This window comes from Homo sapiens, chromosome 1, assembly GCF_000001405.40.
Source record: "Homo sapiens chromosome 1, GRCh38.p14 Primary Assembly".
Taxonomy (NCBI): domain Eukaryota; kingdom Metazoa; phylum Chordata; class Mammalia; order Primates; family Hominidae; genus Homo; species Homo sapiens.
The window spans coordinates 28,966,799-28,986,257 of record NC_000001.11 but is presented as its reverse complement, the minus strand read 5'-3'; the positions used below and the strand labels follow the sequence as shown (position 1 = coordinate 28,986,257).

General features: G+C 41.3%; 1 protein-coding gene and 1 pseudogene across 70 annotated transcripts in view, besides 1 other annotated feature; one reads left to right on the top strand and one right to left on the bottom strand.

Moving 5' to 3' along the window:
• The window catches only part of EPB41 (erythrocyte membrane protein band 4.1), a 232,942-nt gene that overhangs the window by 133,784 nt on the left and 79,699 nt on the right, over positions 1-19,459 (bottom strand). The gene's annotated exons all lie outside the window — the stretch shown is intronic.
• On the top strand, positions 3,614-4,014 carry RPL27P4 (ribosomal protein L27 pseudogene 4; annotated as a pseudogene).
• Positions 8,775-8,975: a silencer, noted in NCBI's record as "peak137 fragment used in MPRA reporter construct". NCBI's record gives its function as "represses an SCP1 promoter by STARR-seq MPRAs in K562 erythroleukemia cells {active_cell/tissue: K562}" and the evidence as "EXISTENCE:reporter gene assay evidence [ECO:0000049][PMID:32103011]".

Below are 19,459 nucleotides of genomic sequence, written 5' to 3'. Positions count from 1 at the left end.
TTCTTCCCATCACTCACAAAGCAGCATTTACATTGTCTTCTCATCTTCTCTGTATTAAATAAAGTAATTAAAAAATATGCAGCCATAAAAAATGATGAGTTCATGTCCTTTGTAGGGACATGGATGAAATTGGAAACCATCATTCTCAGTAAACTATCGCAAGAACAAAAAACCAAACACCGCATATTCTCACTCATAGGTGGGAATTGAACAATGAGATCACATGGACACAGGAAGGGGAATATCACACTCTGGGGACTGTGGTGGGGTCGGGGGAGGGGGGAGGGATAGCATTGGGAGATATACCTAATGCTAGATGACACGTTAGTGGGTGCAGCGCACCAGCATGGCACATGTATACATATGTAACTAACCTGCACAATGTGCACAGGTACCCTAAAACTTAGAGTATAATAAAAAAAAATTTTAAAATAAAAAAAAAAATTTTTAAGGCTAGTGAGGTGAAGCAGTGGGAGTCGAGAAGAAACAAAGACATCTATAACTGGTTGTGATCAATTAGCTGTAAGCACCACTGCACCAGACAAGCCTAAATGAAGTAACTTTATCTGGATGTTAACAATCTGAATGAATGAACAAACTATATTTAGCTCATTCCCTCTTCAGGCCCTTCACACTTGCTGCTCTCTCTACTTACACTGCTCTTCTCCTGCCTATTTGAAGGCTGGTCTCCTTCATATCATTACTGTCTTATGCCTTAGGAGGCCTCCCTACATAACCTAGCTGAAGTATTGGCCTTCATGCCCCCAGATACCCTTACAGGACTACTGCACTTATTATCTGTAATTATTTTGTTAACATATTTGTTTACCAGTTTATTGTCTTTCTTCCCTCTCTCCAGCTAAAATGTCTTTCTTCCCTCTCTCCAGCTAAAAGTTCTATAAGGACATGAACCTTGACATATTTTTTTTTTATCATTGTATACCCAATGCCTAGAACAGTACCTGACACATAATAGGTATTAATAAAAGTTTTAGGCCAGGCACAGTGGCTCACGGCTGTAATCCCAGCACTTTGGGAGGCCGAGGCGGGCAGATCACCTGAGGTCAGGAGTTTGAGACCAGCCTGGTCAGCATGGTGAAGCCCCGTCTCTACTAAAAATACAAAAATTAGCCGGGCATGGTGGCAGGCGCTTGTAATCCAGCTACTCAGGAAGCTAAGGCAGGAGAATCACTTGAAACTGGGAGGCGGAGGTTGTGGTGAGCTGAGATCATGCCATTGTACTCCAGCCTGGGCAACAGAGCGAGACTCCATCTCAAAAACAAAAAAAAAGTTTTTGGGGGCTGGGCATGGTGGCTCACGCCTGTAATCCCAGCAATTTGGGAGGTCGAGGCAGGAGGATCACTTGAGCTCAGGAGTTCAAGACCAGCTTGGGCAACATAGCAAAACATCGTATTTATAAAAAATTTAAAAATTAGCCAGGTATGGGTGGCATGTGCCTATAGTTCCAGCTACTTGGGAAGCTGAGGCAGAAGAATCACTTGAATCCAGGAGGCTGACGCTACAGTGAGCCATGATCATGCCACTGCATGCCAGCCTAGGTGACAGAGCAACACCTTGTCTCAAAAAAAAAAAAAAACCTAAGTTTTTTAAAAAAATGAATTGATTTCACTGAATATATCTGATAAATACAAACTGCAAAGGCATTCTCTAAATTTATTCAAGTAAATTTACTTCAAATGCATGATACTAATTGATTCATTCAACAAATTCTTATCAGGCACCTAGCACAGGACTGATGCTACGTGCTAGAAATACAACAGTAAACAAAACAGTCAAGGTCTATGTCATCATGGAGTTTACATTCTTGTTTCAACTTTAACCAGTATAATGAAAGAAAAATTCAAAATAAATTTTGTTTAAAACCACTATTGATACAGACAAAGGGGCAGAGAAATTCTAGGCAGAAAAGGACGGGTCTCTGACGAAACCCTACCCTCAAACAGAAAAGCATGAGACTGCAGCCCAAAGTGAGACTTTATATCCCTGTTTTCCCACTGGAATGTTGCCTTTTCCTAAACCACCCATGGCCCCACCTCACCCCATCCTGTGCCTATAAAAACCCCAGACTCAGCTGGGAGGGAGGAGAAACAGCTGGATGTTGGAGAGAAGCAGCTTGACTTCAGAGGGATAGCTTGATGGTGTAACTTCAGAGAAGAATTCGGCTGGAGATGGCTGTACTTCAGAGGAAGATAATCTACCCACCCCCGGCCCCTTTTCAGCTCCCCTTCCCGCTGAGAGCCACTTTCATCAGCAATAAAATCCCCTGTATTTACCATTCTTCAATTCATTCCTGTGACCTCATTTTTCCTGGACACCGGACAAGAGCACGGGAGCCATGTGTGCAGATACAAAAGGCTGTCACACTGGCCCTCTGACCTCACTGGCAGAGGGCAGCACCTCACTCAAAAAGGCAAAGGGCCCACTGAGCTGCTAACACTTAAGCTGTTCGTGGATGGCATGTCGAAGCTAAAAGAGCACTGTAACATGCCCTCTGGGGCTTGGAGGGATGCAGATACTGCCCCCTGGATACTGCTGTGAGGCCCGCGTGGCCTTGAGTACTGCAAGCACCAAGGCAGTCAGCTCGTTCCAGCGCTTGTGCACTCCAGTTCCCACCTCGTTCACTCGCACGCTCCTTCCCACAAGGAGTTGAGAGTGGCAGGCTCAGTAAACAAGGTACGCCTGTCACAATTCCCATGAAGAGGTCAGGCAAATATCCTGCTTCACTATAAGGGGTCTGATTCAATAGGTCTGGAAAGGGGCCTGAGATTCTACAATTCTAATAAGATGTTGCCAATGCTGCTGGCCCACTGAGCACATTTTGAGTAGGAAGCACAGAAAACCACCATTACAATCACTTTGAGAACGTACTGCAAAATGCCTAGAAACAAAGACTATAAAAAGCTGCTTTTAGCAAGTGGAATATGAAGAGCAGGAAATACTTGACACAATAAGTGCTCAACAAATAAATCCTTGTTAATTAATGAATGAAACAAATGATGCAACACATTAAATGTGAAAAGTGAACCATTAACATTTTTAAAAACTCTTTTTGGCACTTAATCAGACTTTGTAATCTTTAAACATAGAGTATGGCAAATCCAAGTTTCCTACCCAGCTGTGACAAGTGCCCAGATTCAGTGTTCTGGGTATCTCCATTGATAATATCTCTGTGCCACATTTAGGAAGTAATGATTAGGACAGGAGCCAATCATAATCCTGAAAGATATAGTCCTCAATGGCATAATCCTGAGTGTTGAAATCCCAAAAGACCAAAATCCCAAAAATATAATTCTGGAAAAAGGAATTTAAAAAAAAATTTAAAGATATGTATTTACATTTTTAAGGGGGATTTATTTGAGAAACATAAAAACATAACAGAACACTTCATAGGCTACTTTACATGATAAAATAGGCAAAAACAACATACATATTTTGCAAGCATAAACACTTGGGTATACTAATGACAGTCATACAGGTATAAGTTATGAGCAGACAAGGTGTATTCATAAAAAAATAGCTTATATAACTGCAGTCATCTGAAATACCACGACAAACAACCTAAGTCTTAAGATCAATCAAAAACCATGATGGGCTTTTTGCTGTAGGCCCGAGTGGTTGCTGCCGAAATGGGCAAGTTCATGAAACCTGGGAAGGTGGTGCTTGTCCTGGCTGGACGCTACTCTGGATGCAAAGCCGTCATCGTGAAGAACATTGATGATAGCACCTCAGATTGCCCCTACAGCCATGCTCTGGTGTCTGGAATTGACCACTACCCCTGCAAAGTGACAGCTGCCATGGGCAAGAAGAAGATCACCAAGGGGTCAAAGATCAAGTCTTTTGCGAAAGTTTGTAACTACAATCACCTAATGCCCAAAGCCCGACGAGAGGCCAAGGTCAAGTTTGAAAAGAGATAAAAGACAGGCAAGAACAAGTAGTTCTTCCAGAAGCTGTGGTTTTAGATGCTTTGTTTTGGTCATTAAAAATTAAAAAGAAGCAGCCATAAAAAATGATGAGTTCATGTCCTTTGTAGGGACATGGATGAAGCTGGAAACCATCATTCTCAGCAAACTATCGCAAGGACAAAAATCCAAACACCGCATGTTCTCACTCATAGGTGGGAATTGAACAACGAGAACACATGGACACAGGAAGGGGAACATCACACACCGGGGACTGTCGTGGGGTGGGGAAGGGGGGAGGGATAGCATTAGGAGATATACCTAATGCTAAATGACGAGTTAATGGGTGCAGCACACCAACATGGCACACGTATACATATGTAACAAACCTGCACATTGTGCACATGTACCCTAAAACTTAAAGTATAATAATAATAAAATTTAAAGAAAATAAAAAATAAAAATAATAAAAATAAAAATTAAAAAGAAAAAAAAACCATGATGGGCTGCCACCACATATTACAGTTGCCCAAAGAGCATTTTACATACATGCACAATGCTTACACACGAAGTCAATGTTGTGAAAATGGACCTTGTGGAGTCAAATTTGCAAATATGCGAAAAATGCATAAAACACATTCGAACTCTCTAAAAGTCTTGACACAATTTATACCTCCAGTAATGGAAATGATGTGAAGATGAAATACAGAGCACAGCATATTGTAAAAAATAATGCTGGCAATTTGAACAAGTGGGGAAAAAACTTTTAAAAACTAAAAAGAAAACTCAACATATGAAAAAGTATATTACAGCAATAGATTCTGGGCAATTGTGCAGAGGCGGTCCATAAGAGCAGGCAGACTTTCACAATCATTTATATTTTGAAGTCTTACATCACCACGAATAGCTGCTTTTTTCCTTTTAGAGCATGGCTCTCCTCAGAGAATACATTCACATTCATTTTATACATGGTGCTGCTCTTTTTGAAATTCTTCTATGATTCGACATACATGGACATGAGCATTTCCTGTTAAATTTTCCCATCTTTTGTGTTATGCATATATGTTGTTTTAGGCATGCAGAAATTTGTTTCACAAGTACTCATATGCAGACCATAAATTTGGTGGAAACAATACTGGTGATCAAACAGAAACACCATTGTGTGTCTTCTTATCCTACTGTGCACGTAATTATTTTTGAACCAGTCGGTAACTTCACTGGTTTCTTCAGACAGATGCAGTTTTAATTTATTAAAAGCTCCTGGAGGACAGGCACGGTGGCTCACGCCTGTAATCCAAGCACTTTGGGAGGCTGAGATGGGCAGATCACCTGAGGTCAGGAGTTCGAGGCCAGCCTGGCCAAAGTGGTAAAACCCTGTCTCTACTAAAAATACAAAAACTAGCTGGGCCTGGTGGCGGACGTCTGTAATCCCCGCTACTCGGGAGGCCAGGCAGTCGAGGTTGCAGTGAGCCGAGATTGCACCACTGCATTCCAGCCTGGGTGACAGAGTGAGACTCTATCTCAAAAAAAAAAAAAAAAAAAACTCCTGGAATATCATCAGCTGGAAGGAATGCCAATGCAGGCAAATAATACACTTTAAAAATAAAAATAATGCACTTTTTTTGAGACAGGTTCTGACTCCACCCAGGCAAGAGTGCAGTGGCACAATCTCGGCTCACTTCAACCTCAACTTCCTGGGCTCAGGCAATTCTCCCACCTCAGCCTCCCAAGTAGCTGGAACTACAGGTACACACAACCATGCCCAGCTAATTAAAAAAAAAAAAATTTTTTTTAAAGATGGAGTTTCACCATGTTGCCCAGGCTGGTTTCAAACTCCTGGGCTCAAATGATCCTCCTGCCTCAGCCTCCCAAAGTGCTGGGATTACAGAAGTGAGCCACCATACCTATAATGCACTTTATTTTTTTTCTCAACCCTCCCCTAGTGACATCATAATGTGCTTTTTAAATTTTTTAAATGTATTTTATTATTTTATTTTTTTGAGACAGGTTCTGGCTCTGTGGCCCAGGCTGGAGTGCAATGGCATAATCTCAGCTCACTGCAACCTCCATCTCCCCGGCTCAAACCATCCTTCTACCTCAGCCTCCTAAGTAGCTGAAACTACAAGCACGCACCACCAAGTCTGGCTAATTTGTTTTTGTATTTTGGGGACAGATGGGGTTTCACCATGTTTTGCCAGGCTGGTCTCGAACTCCTAGGCTCAAGTGATCTTCCCGTCTTGGCCTACCAAAGTGCTGGGATAATGTGAACCTGCCACAATGCACTTTTAAACTGAAACTTTCATCCTTGCTGTATTGTGTGGCCAATCCATTCATCTGAATTTTCTGCCAAATGCATTGGGGTTGAATGGAACAAAGTTTATTCATAACATTTTGAAATTCACTTTTAGAAGCCTTGATTGCACCTCATTCCAAATCTGTCATTATGGTTCGGGGATTCAATCAAAATCCATTTTCTTCTGCCAAGTCTGCCAAATCTTCAAATAAACATTTATAAGGTGTTTCACTTTTTCCAGTCACTAATACATAAACTAGTAGATTAGTTCTAGAATTTTCAGATTCAATGGGGGCATGAATTGTATACAAGTGATTAAAAAAAAAAAAAGTGAGGACAGTTTCAAAAGTACCATCCATTAGCCAAAGTGAAGCATGTGCTAGTTTTGCTATATTAGATTTAGTGGTAAATATAAGAAGTCTATCCTCTTTGACAGTCAAATCCCTAATCAAGAATAGTTCACCATTTAACATGTTTTGCAACAGTGGAGGAACCTCAATATCGACAAGTGTATTTGGTTCAGAAGGTCACCGAGCTTGTCAAATTCTTTTTATTCTGTAATGAAGGGTGTTTTTTAAAGGCAAGTATGAAGGGGCATGTGTGAAGGGGCAGTAGTCGTACACAATTGAATATAATTTGGCAGGGGAGATCTCTTGTATTTTTCGCATGCATTTTCAATTCTTGTATGGTCTTCAAAACACTCACCGCACTTGTATTTGGAGAGTGGTTGTGGTCTACAAATTTTGTAAGTATATGTGGTCCATTGGAAAGTTTTGGTATTGCTTGGCCATTGCAGTTAAGCAATACTCTGCTTTCACAGCAGCAATAATAATTAGCTTTTAAACTTTTATCTTTCACCACTAAGTAGCCTCATACACTTAACTTATCACAGCCTTTCTGTGAGGAAACAATTTCACAGATATTTCATTGTGTTGCAAGTAAAAGGAATGACATTCAGCTTCTCTAATATCAAATCTGTATTAGTCAGGGTTCTCCAGAGTGACAGAACCAATAGGATATGTATATAGATACATGACAGAGGATTTACTAGGGGAATTGGCTCACATGATTGTGGTGGCTGAGAAGTCCCACAACAGGCTGTGTGCAAGCTGGAGACTCTAGGATGCCAGTGGCATAGCTCAGTCCAAGACTAAAGGCCTCAGAACCAGAAAAGTTGATGGTATAACTCTCATCCTCAAGACCTGGAGGGGCTACTGGTATAAGTCCTTGAGTCCAAAGGCTGAGAAGCCTATAGTTCTGATGCCCAACACAGCAGAAGAAGTCTGTCCCAGCTGTCAGAGACACGTGTCTTCTCTATTTGTTCTTTCCGGGCCCCCCAGCCAATTTAATGATACCCACCAAAAATGAGGGCAGATCTTCCCCACCTAATCCACAAGACTTACACACTAATCTCCTCTGGAAACATCCTCACAGACATACCCCAAAGAATATTTTACCAGGTTTCTAGGTATTCCTTAATCCAGTCAAACTGACATCTCCAAAATTAAGTCTATAAGTCTACCCCTTGTCCACTTGGCATCTATATGCATCTCCTTAAACCATATTTAATTTCCAAATAAACACAACAAAGTAATAGTTCTGCCTAACATGAAGCAACTACCCTGTGATTGTGATTTTGGGGATTGTAGACATTAGGGATTTTAGACTTCAGGGATTTAGGATTCAGGGATTTTGATCTTTCAGGATTTTAACATTTCGGATTATGGTGTTTAGGATTGTGTCTTTTGGGATTATGATCCAAACCCAATTAAGACATATGAAGAGTTAGAGGATAACATCTATGAGTACAGAATTGAGACATTTTGCCACATAATGGGACATATGTAAAAAACAAGCCGAACATAAGAATAAATGAAAACATAATTAAGGAACAGGCACAGAGGTAGAAAGGCAAAAGAATTCTACTGAAACCAACTTCAGTTAATACCATACATTAAATGCTAGAAAACAATCAGGAATTCAAACAATGCAGTATCCAGCAAAGATGCTACAACTCAGTCTATACAAGAAAAAACATAAAAATGAATGATTAAGGAGAGTTTGCATCTATGTTCTTAAAAAAAAAAAGAGAATATAAAATGAAACTGATAAAGCTCACTGATACTTTCAGTTAGCTCTGAGGTTAATATGAATTAAACAAATAAATAAATAGCAAAAAGAAAAAAAAACCCTATGGATCACTTACTAAAAGCTCAAATATACTTCTCTAGACAAATGCCATGCAGTCATGTTCTTCCAGACAAATGCCATGCAGTCATGTTCCTCGTGTTACAAATGATAGGACGGGTACAGAGGAAAAGATATAAAGAAGTCAAGCAGCAAAAACAGGATAAATGCTCTACAAACAAGCTCTTCCTATGTAAATGACACTATTTTCATTCTGGATATAAAATCCAAAAGGAGGTATCCATTTACTTAATGTCAGAAAGAGGTCTTTTGATTTAAACAAACAAACAAACAAAGAATCTACACAACACTGAAGAAAAAGTGACGAGTTACCGTTCCATCTCAATCCTAATCCTCAAAACCCTATGAATTACACCCCATCTGGTATCAAAGATATACTTGTTTTAAAAGTGTGCATCTGTTAATTTCAGACAAATCAAACCTTTAAAAAAAAAAAAAAAAAGAAAAACATACTGAACAGACTGAAAAGACTGAATGGTTATCTTTCATTTTTTTTTACATCTCTGTAACATTGAGTCAGTGCTCCATTAATGCTTCTTGAGTTGAAAACTTCACAAAAACATTGCAGTTTGGCAGCATTAATAAAATTTCCTTTATAATCACCATTTAGGGATGAAGTTTGATGATTTAATTCTAGGTATTACTCTTCAAATTAGCTCACTGAGAAGAAAAAAAATAAAAAACCACTGGGCACAGTGGCTCACACCTGTAATCCCAGCACTTTGGGAGGCCAAGGCAGGCAGATCAACTGAGGTCAGGAATTTGTGACCAGCTTGGCCAACATGGTGAAACTCTGTCTGTACTAAAAATACAACAATTAGCTGCACATGGTGGTGCACACTTATAATCCTAGCTACTTGGGAGGCTGAGGCAGGAGAATGGCTTGAACCCAGGAGGCAGAGGTTGCACTGAGCCAAGATCCCACCACTGCACTCCAACCTGGGCAAAAGAGTAAGACTCCATCTCAAAAAATAAATAAATAATGCTTTGAGGGAGGAGTATAGATGTCAATAGAAAGAGACTTGAAGTGCAATGGGCAAAGGGAATTCCACGCAGAACCAGTATTATTAAGAACATTGTAAATCCAAAGAAACTAGTAAGAATTCCAGACTAGCTGAATAGGGCTACAACAGGGCAGCAGGGGGAGATACGGTTAGAAAAGAGCTACCGTTTAAAATTCCATGGCCAGGCACGGTGGCTTACACCTGTAATCCCAGCACTTTGGGAGGCCAAGGCAGGAGGATAGCTTGAGCCCAGGAGTTTGAGTCCATCCTAGGCAACATAGAAAGGCCTCGTCTCTGCAAAAAATAAAAAATTAGCCAAGTATGGTGACATGCCCCTGTAATCCCAGCTACTTGGGAGTCTGAGGTAGGAGGATCACTTGAGCCTCAGAGGTCAAGGCTACAGTGAGTCATGATCCTGCCATTACACTCCAGCATGGGTGACAAAGTGAAACCCTATCTCTCAAAAATAAAAAAATTAGATTCCAACAGTAACAATAATAATAGCAGCTAGCATGTATTGAATACCTAAATGCCACACATTATTCTACATGCCTTAAACCACTCTACAAGGTAGACATTCTCATTTCCCAGAAAATAAACTCTGGGTGGTTAAAAAATTTGCTTCAGATCATGGAGTCATGCATTAATGAAACCATTAAACATGGTGATAATTCTGTTGTAAATTATCAGGCTAGTATCTGTCTCTGTAAAACACAGTACTTCAGATGCTTCTACCTCAGAGATGCTTCTCTGTTAACTAAACCCCTATCTGTTGAGAAGTTATGCACAGACTATTCAATCTGGCTAAGACCACCTCTATTTCTACCAGTTTCAAGTTCCCCGCCCATGTACATATTTCTTTCTTTCTTTCTTTTTTTTTTTTTTTTTTTTTGAGATGGAGTCTCACTCTGTCACCCAGGCTGGAGTGCAGTGGCGGGATCTCAGCTCACTGCAAGCTCCGCCTCCCGGGTTCACGCCATTCTCCTGCCTCAGCCCGCCACCATGCCCGGCTAATTTTTTGTATTTTTATTAGAGACGGGGTTTCACCGTGTTAGCCAGGATGTTCTCGAGCTCCTGACCTCGTGATCCACCCATCTCGGCCTCCCAAAGTGCTGGGATTACAGGCGTGAGCCACCGCGCCTGGCCACATATTTCTTCTTTTACTCTTTCCAGAGTGTACGTGTAGAATGAGACAGGAAGAGACAGGCAAAGACACATTATGAAATGACTTGAATATCATGCTAAATTGTTGGGACTTGATTCCTGAGAGCCACTGAAAGCTTTTAAGTAAGGAAGTAGATAAAGTGGAGGCAGAAGAGGCTAGAGACAGAGGGAAATTCAACAAATGACTGGGTAAATTCAGGTTATCAGTGAATATTCACAATGGGAATCCCTAGGGAAGCTGAAATCAATACTGAGCAGAGAAACTTGAAAAGCCTTGCAACCAAGGTTTAAGAACTCCTGCTGCCCTTAGTTTCTCTAGCATATTCTCACTAGCACACTTCTTATTAATCCAGGCAGTTGCATATCAGATCCTAAAGGCATTTTTATAATATACCTCCTTTAGCCCACTTTGGTAAATGGTAATAGAACCAAAATAAGGCCGGGCACGGTAACTCACGCCTGTAATTCCAGCACTTTGGGAGCCTGAGGTGGGTGGATTACCTGAGGTCAGGAGTTTGAGACCAGCCTGACCAACATGGTAAAACCCCATCTCTACTAAAAATACAAAAAAAAATTGGCCAGGCACGGTGGCTCATGCCTGTAATCCCAGCACTTTGGGAGGCTGAGGCAGGTGATCACCTGAGGTCAGGAGTTTGAGACCAGCCTGACCAACATGGAGAAACCCCATCTCTACTAAAAATACAAAATTAGCCAGGGGTGGTGGCGCATGCCTGTAATCCCAGCTACTTTGGAGGCTGAGGCAGGAGAATCTCTTGAACCCGGGAGGCGGAGGTTGCAGTGAGCCAAGATCACGCCACGGCACTCCAGCCTGGGCGACAGAGCAAGACTCCATCTCAAAAAAAAAAAACAAAAACAAAACTGAAAAACTGAAATAGAGAAGAGAGATTAATATCTTGCAAGTATCTCAATAAAACATGTCCAAAATTAAATTCTTAATTCTGTTTTTCCTGTTCCCATAAGTGGCTCAATCATACCATCCAGTATCTCAAAGCAGAATCCTAAGTGCTGTCCTTCTCTTAGCCTTCTCCATTTCCCTTCCTAATCAAATCCATCTGTTCATCGTATACACTCTACCGCCAAAATATATTTAGAACCAGTCTATTTTTCAGCTTCTCTACTGCTTTTATGTTTGTATGAGTCTTCTTCACTTCTCACTTAAATTACATACTAGAATGATTTGAATTTTGCCTACCTCACTAACCTCTACCCTTGGAGGTTACCCAATTTGACAATAGTTCACACACTAAAAAGGATCTTAAGTCCTTGACAGAACATGCCCCAACAGAAATGAAATTCTAAAACAGCTTACAATCTTTATCTGCATTTCTAGACTTATAGTGACCAGAGCATTCCTATGCTAAGTAGTGGGGCTACTCTAGTAAGAAAGACAAACTTAGTCTCTGACCTCCTGGATTTGATTCTCTATCCAGAAGACTGTGGACAGTAACAGCCCCTCAGTTCTCAGTATTTATATTGCATCTTAAATCTTACATTCGGTTCTGAGCAATCTATTTTAGAGAGAAAAAATCTGTCAGAGCTAGAAGATAATGATGCAATTTGAAACCACGTCATAAAACAAATAACTGAATGATATTGGGACCTTTAGCCTAGAAAAAGAGAATTCAAAGCAGGAAAATGATTGCTGCTCTAACAAATTTCAAGAGCTGCTGAATTTCATGTGACTCCTAAGGGCAGAATTCATTAGCCCACAGAAATTACAAAGACATAGTTTTCATCTAAATAAAGTAAAAGGAAGAAATTGCTAATAATTAAATGAGCTGCTTGGGAAGAGTGAGATTATCATCAAAAATATTCACTCAAGCTGAATGCCCATCTGTTGTAGATGCCAGAGAGAGGATTCTTCTAGTACGTGGGTCCTTACATTAACTGAATTCTCAGGTCCTTACCAATGCTAAGATTTTACAAATAGGAAGGAAGAAAGAAAACAAATGGGGTTGGGCACAGTGGCTCACAGCTATAATTCCAACACTCTGGGAGACCAAAACAGGAGTATCTCTTGAGACTAGGAGTTCCAAACCAGCCTGGGCAACACAGCAAGATCCTGTTTCTAAAAAAATAAAAATAAAAAAAGTAGCCGGGCATGGTGGTGCATGCCTGTAGTCATAGCTATCTGGGAGGCTGAGGCAGAAGAATTGCTTGAGCCCAGGAATTTGAGGCTCCAGTGAGCTATGACTGCACCACTGCACTCCAGCCTGGTTGACAGAGCAAGACCCTGTCTCTGAAAAATAAAAATAAACAAAAGGGACATTAGAATAGTTATACAATGGATTATTTTTTAAAGGCTATATTATTTCTCCCCCACCCCCAATATCCCCAAGGACACCAGAGAAGGGCTATATTATAAACTCAAGAGTCACCATTTGGATTAGGAGAATAAGGGGGTAAAAGCAAAAGTAAAGGATAATAGGCCCTTTTACTTCCCTAGTCAGAGGACAGAAACTAGTGACATTCTTTCAGACAGAAAGAAAATATGTTCAAGTATGAAGGTTTCAAAACTATGCTAGAAAACAGCTTCTTTCCTGATAAAAATCAATCCCCCAAAACCACAGGAAAGTATCTTTCCTTTCTAACTCAATTTAAGTACACTAATTAGCACCTCTAGAATAGGATAATCACCAATGTGGTCTTTGGATGAAAATGGTAATTTAAAATTTACAAAAGAGTTTCTTCAGAATTCTTCCTCTATCCTCTTGAAATTATTTGAATGTTAAATTACTCTTTATGAAGCCTTGCAGTGGCTCACACCTGTAATCTCAGCCCTTTGGGAGTCCAAGGTGGGAGGATTGCTTGAGCCCAGGAGTTTGAAACCAGCCTGGGCAGCATAGTGAGACCATGTCTCTACTAAAGGAAAAAAAAAAAATTAGCCAAGCATAGTTTCATGAGCCTGTAGTCCCAGCTCCACAGGAACGTGAGGTGGGAGAACTGCCTGAGCCCAGGAGTTGGAGGCTGCGGTGAATCATGATCACACTACTGCACTCCAGCCTGGGCAACAGAGCAAGACTCTGTCTAAAAAAAAAAAAACTGCTTGCCATACTGAGTGAATCAGGAATGTCACTGAGCATGATCATGCTGTTTTCAAAAACTTGGTTTTTAATTTAAGTCATTTCTATGGTGACTAATACCGCTGAATCAACTCATTCAAAGATATTTTTAAATAAACAAACTCTTACTCATCTTCTTCTAAGAAGATGAAAACACATTCTTTACTTCTCTAGAGAATTCAGGCATATACTTAAAAGATGTCTGGATATAGTCTAAAAGTGTACCACCTGGGCCCAGGCCCTCCCAGAAAATACACTACTGGATCAATGATTACTGAGCATCAATGAGGACAATGTGAAACAAAAAAAATTCATCTCCACCGAATTGAGTTTTATTTCTTTTAAGTGTCAAAGTGGGCTGGGTTTGGTGGCTCAAGCCTGTAATCCTAGCACACTTTGGGAAGCCTAAGCAGGCAGATCACTTGAGCCTAGGAGTTCAAGATCAGTCTGGTCTAGACAACATGGTGAAACCTTATCTCTACAAAGGATACAAAAAATTAGCTGGGCATGGTAGCGTGCACCTGTAGTCCCAGCTACGGGGGCAGGGTAGGGGTGGGTATGGGGTGGTGAGCCTGAGGTGGGAGGATCAGCTGAGCGCGGAGGTCGAGACTGTAGTGAGCTGTGATCGCTGCACTCCAGACTGGGTGACAGAATGAGACCCTGTCTCAAAAGAAAAAAAAGTGTCAAAGTGTATTATTTTAGCCATTCTAGATGGAAATCTTTATGAAATGGATTATATGCTTCCTTGTTTCATTTTTTAAATCTATAGACCATAATTGAGTCGTTATTGATTTAGTCATCATTATGAACCTGAATTACTACGCAGTGCTAATGTCCTCATAGGCTACTGAAGTCTATAGTGATGATTAGCTCTTTCAGAAAGATATCTGAATACTGTGCTTTTTTATTTTTTGTATCTGCCTTTATTAGGTTTCCTATTTGCTCATTTGAAGAGTTAACTCACATTTCTTGCTGATGTCAAAGTGGCCTGCCAACAAGCATCTTCCAATGTCTCTTCTTCTAATCTGTTATTGGCTAATCTACATTGATTCAGAAACCAGATAGCCAAGTGTGTTAAAATTTTGTTTAAAGAGTAAATGCAACCGGGCGCGGTGGCTCATGCCTGTAATCCCAGCACTTTGAGAAGCCGAAGCCAGGTGGATCACTTGAGGTCAGGAGTTCAAGATGAGCCTGGTCAACATGGTGAAACCCAGTCTCTACTAAAAATACAAAAATTAGCCAGGCATGGTGGCAGGCGCTTGTAATCCCAGCTACTTGGGAGGCTGAGGCAGAAGAATCACTTGAACCTGGGAGGCAGAGGTTGCAGTGAGCCAAGATCGCGCCACTGCACTCCAGCCTGGGCGACAGAGGGACACTGTCCCAAAAAAAAAAAAAAAAAAAAAAAGAAAGAAAGAAAGAAAAAAAAAAGATTAAATGCGGCCGGGTGTGGTGGCTCATGCCTGTAATTCCAGCACTTTGGGAGGCCAAGGCAGGCAGATCACATGAGGTCAAGAGTTCAAGACCAACCTGGCCAACATGGTGAAACCCTCTCTCTACTGAAAATACAAAAATTAGCTGGGCGTAGTGGCACGCGCCTGTAATCCCAGCTACTCAGGAGGCTGAGACAGGAGAATCGTCTGAACCTGGGAGGTGGAGGCTGCAGTGAGCCGAGATCGCACCTTTGCACTCAGCCTGGGCGACAGAGCAAGACTCCATCTCCAAAAAAAGAGAGTAAATGCTAAGGAAGAGTAAGACTAATGCTTCACATTACTGGACAACTTCAATGCATGGATTTTATGAAATCACTTCTAGCTCTTCAAGTACCACATAAGCCTAAAGTTTCCATTATATTGTGTCTAGTTGAGGCTATAAGGTAAGTGACCTTCAGATCAATCACACCATGACTATTCTCTTTCTTTCCAAGTTGAGATTAAAAGTCTTTAATGCCATTATTTATATAAGGTGTTGTATCCATATAAACTCTCCCGGAAAACATAAAACAATGGAATAATTTAGCCTGAAAATGTAACTGAAAGGAAGGAGAACCACACATAAAATGCTTACTAGCCTTAAAAATTTCAAGGTAAATATAAACAAAGCCTGAAGATTTCTAGCTACAAAGGGGTTTTAGTTAAGAGTATGGAACTTTCCTTACTCTCTTATTTTTAGTTTCTTAGAGCCAACTCAATCTAACAATATTTACTTTAAAATTTTGAAACTCAAATACCATAAGACTATTTTAGTAAATTTCACTTTAACCAGAAAACTACAGTAAATTAACTATCAAATATCATCTAGTAAGAATACAAGTGGGAATCACAAACATGAACTGGATCATGGATTGTTTTAGCAGATACTCTGGAAATTGGAATAGATGCAGCAGTTGTCTCTTACCATTGTTAAGTATGAAAAATATACTACAGGCCACCAGAAAATATAATACTGGCACAGAGACAAGATTTAGTACCAGTTTGAATATTTCAAATAATCCGCTATTTGCTGAAAGTATTCAATAAAATTATTGACTAAGCTTGATGACAGTTTTCTCTCCCAGAAAAGCCTCTACTATGGGACTGAATTCTGAGCAGTAAACAATAATTTTTTGGTGATGTGAACATATCAGAAACTTTAGCAGAGAATAATAATTTCACACAGTTTTGTTTTTTGTTTGTTTGTTTGTTTTTTGAGACAGAGTCTCGCTCTGTCGCCCAGGCTGGAGTACAGCGGCACGATCTTGGCTCACTGCAAGCTCTGCCTCCCAGGTTCACGCCATTCTCCTGCCTCAGCCTCCCGAGTAGCTGGGACTACAGGTGCCCACCGCCACGCCCGGCTAATTTTTTGTATTTTTTTAGTAGAGACGGAGTTTCACCGTGTTAGCCAGGATGGTCTCAATCTTGTGACCTCGTGATCCGCCCGCCTCAGCCTACCAAAGTGCTGGGATTACAGGCTTGAGCCACTGCGACCGGCCAATTTTTTGTATTTTTAGTACAGACGGGGTTTCACCGTGTTAGCCAGGATGGTCACGATCTCCTGACCTCGTGATCCACCCGCCTCGGCCTCCTAAAGTGCTGGGATTACAGGCGTGAGCCACTGCGCCCGGCTAATTTCACACAGTTTTTATGCTGAGAAAAGAGGTCACAGTCAAACACGTAAGCTTACTACAAATAAATTCTAAAAACATTTAAAGAAAAGTAAGACATGGGCTGGGCGTGGTGGCTCATGCCTGTAATCCCAACGCTTTGGGAGGCCAAGGCAGGTGGATCACTTGAGGTCAGGAGTTCGAGACTAGCCTGGTCAACATGGTGAGACCCTGTCTCTATTAAAAATACAAAAATTAACCAGGCATGGTGGTGGGTGCCTGTAATCCCAGCTACTGGAGAGACTGAGGCACAAGAATCACTTGAACCGAGGAGGTGGAGGTTGCAGTGAGCTGAGACTGTGCCACTGCACCGCAGCTTGGGTGACAGGGCAAGACTCTGTCTTAAAAAAAAAAAAAAAAAAGTACGGCATGATTGCATGTCCAAAGATTCTATAAGAATATAGAACTTGTTAGGATAAGGCAATTCTAGAAAGCGAAGTTCATTTAGTTTGTGTTTTTTTTTTGGGGGGTGGGGGGTTTTGGAGGCAGAGTATCACTTTATCCCCCAGGCTGGAGTCCAGTGGTGCGATCTCAGCTCACTGTAACTTCTGCCTCCCAGGTTCAAGTGATTGTCACGTCTCAGCCTCCTAAGTAGCTGGCATTACAGGTGCGCACCACCATGCACAGCTAAATTTTGTATTTTTAGTAGAGACGGGGGTCTCACCATGTTGGCCAGGCTGGTCTCGAACTTCTGGCGTCAGGTGATCCACCCGTCTCGGCCTCCCAAAGCGCTGGGATTATAGGTGTGAGCCACTGCGCCCGGCCTCATTTAGTTTTATAATTGCAGTTTTTGCCATTGAAAGTAACGGCAAAAACTGCAATTACTTTTGCATCAACCTAATACATTTCACAGTTTTATATTAAGTGTCAGGTTCTTTTCTAAGCCCTGGGAATATGGCAGTGGAATATTCTCTATACAATCATAAATTTTTAGAAAAACATGAGGAAATATGGCAGTGGAATTTTCTCTATACAATCATAAATTTTTAGAAAAACATGAGGAAATGATTAAAGACAGTCATGAAGAGTGGGGATATTATAAGGACATATGTACAAAAACAGAGTTTTGTTTGTTTGTTTGTTTGTTTGTTTTGAGATGGAGTCTTGCTCTATCGCTAGGCTGGAGTGCAGTGGTGTGATCTCGGCTCACTGCAACCTCCACCTCCCGGGTTCAAGAGATTCTCCTGCCTCAGCCTCCCGAGTAGCTGGGACTAAAGGAGTGCCACCACACCCAGGTAATTTTTGCATTTTTAGTAGAGACAGGGTTTCACCATGTTGGCCAGGATGGTGTCGATCTCTTGACCTCGTGATCTGTCCACCTCAGCCTCCCAAAGTGCTGGGATTACAGGCGTGAGCCACCGTGCCTGGCCAAAAACGAAGTTTTAAAAACAGCCTTGCAAAGGAATATCTACAAAAATAATGGCCAATAGTCTGGCCAACATGGTAAAAACCTGTCTCTACTAAAAATACAAAAATTTGCCAGGCGTGGCGGTGCATGCCTGTAATCCCAGCTATTCAGGAGGTTGAGGAATGAAAATCACTTGAACCGGGGAGGCAGAGGTTGCAGTGAGCTGAGATCACACCACTGCACTCCAGCCTGGGCGACAGAGGAAGACTCAAAAAAAAAAAAAAAAAAGACAAGGCCCATTAAAGAATGGAGCTTAAAAGAAAAAAAAGGCTGGGTTCAGTGGCTCACACCTGTAATCCCATCTACTTAGAAGGCTGAGGTGGGAGGATCATTTAAGCCCAGGAGGTGGAGGTTGCAGTCAGCTGTGATCATGCCACTGCACTCCAGCCTCGGAAACAGAGTAAAACCTTGTCTCAAGAAATGAAAATTAAAAATTAAAAAATAGAAAACTGCTGAAAATGAAGGGGGAGAAAGAAAGGAAGGTCGAATTCATACTACAGCTTGAGAGAAAAACAGAATAGTGTTAACATGGGTCAGAAGCAAAATTACCAAAGGTTAAATATCCCCAGATCCTTAAACTGTTCCTCACATTAAATAGTTTACCAGTTCCTCATCATTCTAGACATCCTCTCCCAAACAGATTCCAAAGTATCAGTAACTTTCTTTTAAATGAGGTACCTGGAACCAAACACATTTTCCTGAAGAACTGAAATCATAAAAGGGCCGAGCGTGGTGGCTCACGCCTGTAATCCCAGCACTTTGGGAGGCCAAGGCGGGTGGATCACGAGGTCAGGAAATCGAGACCATCCTGGTTAACATGGTGAAACCCCGTCTCTACTAAAAATACAAAAACTTAGCCGGGTGTGGTGGCGGGCACCTGTAGTCCCAGCTACTCAGGAGGCTGAGGCAGGAGAATCGCTTGAACCCTGGAGGCAGAGCTTGCAGTGAGTAGAGATCATGCCACTGCACTCCAGCCTGGGCGACAGAGTGAGACTCCGTCTCAAAAAAAAAAAAAAAAAAAAAAAGGTTCTCATATGAATCTATCTTTATAACCTGCTTCTGAACTGAAAACTGAAGTTAGTTATCAGTAAAGGAGGTAGCATGATCCTACTAAAAGTACAGTTAGATCATCCACTGACCAGAAACCCTCCAAAGACATTTCCTGCCATTCAGAATAAAGGGCAAAGTCCTTGCAATTGCCTGTCCTGTTCCAGCCACCTGGGTCTCCTCGTTGTTTATT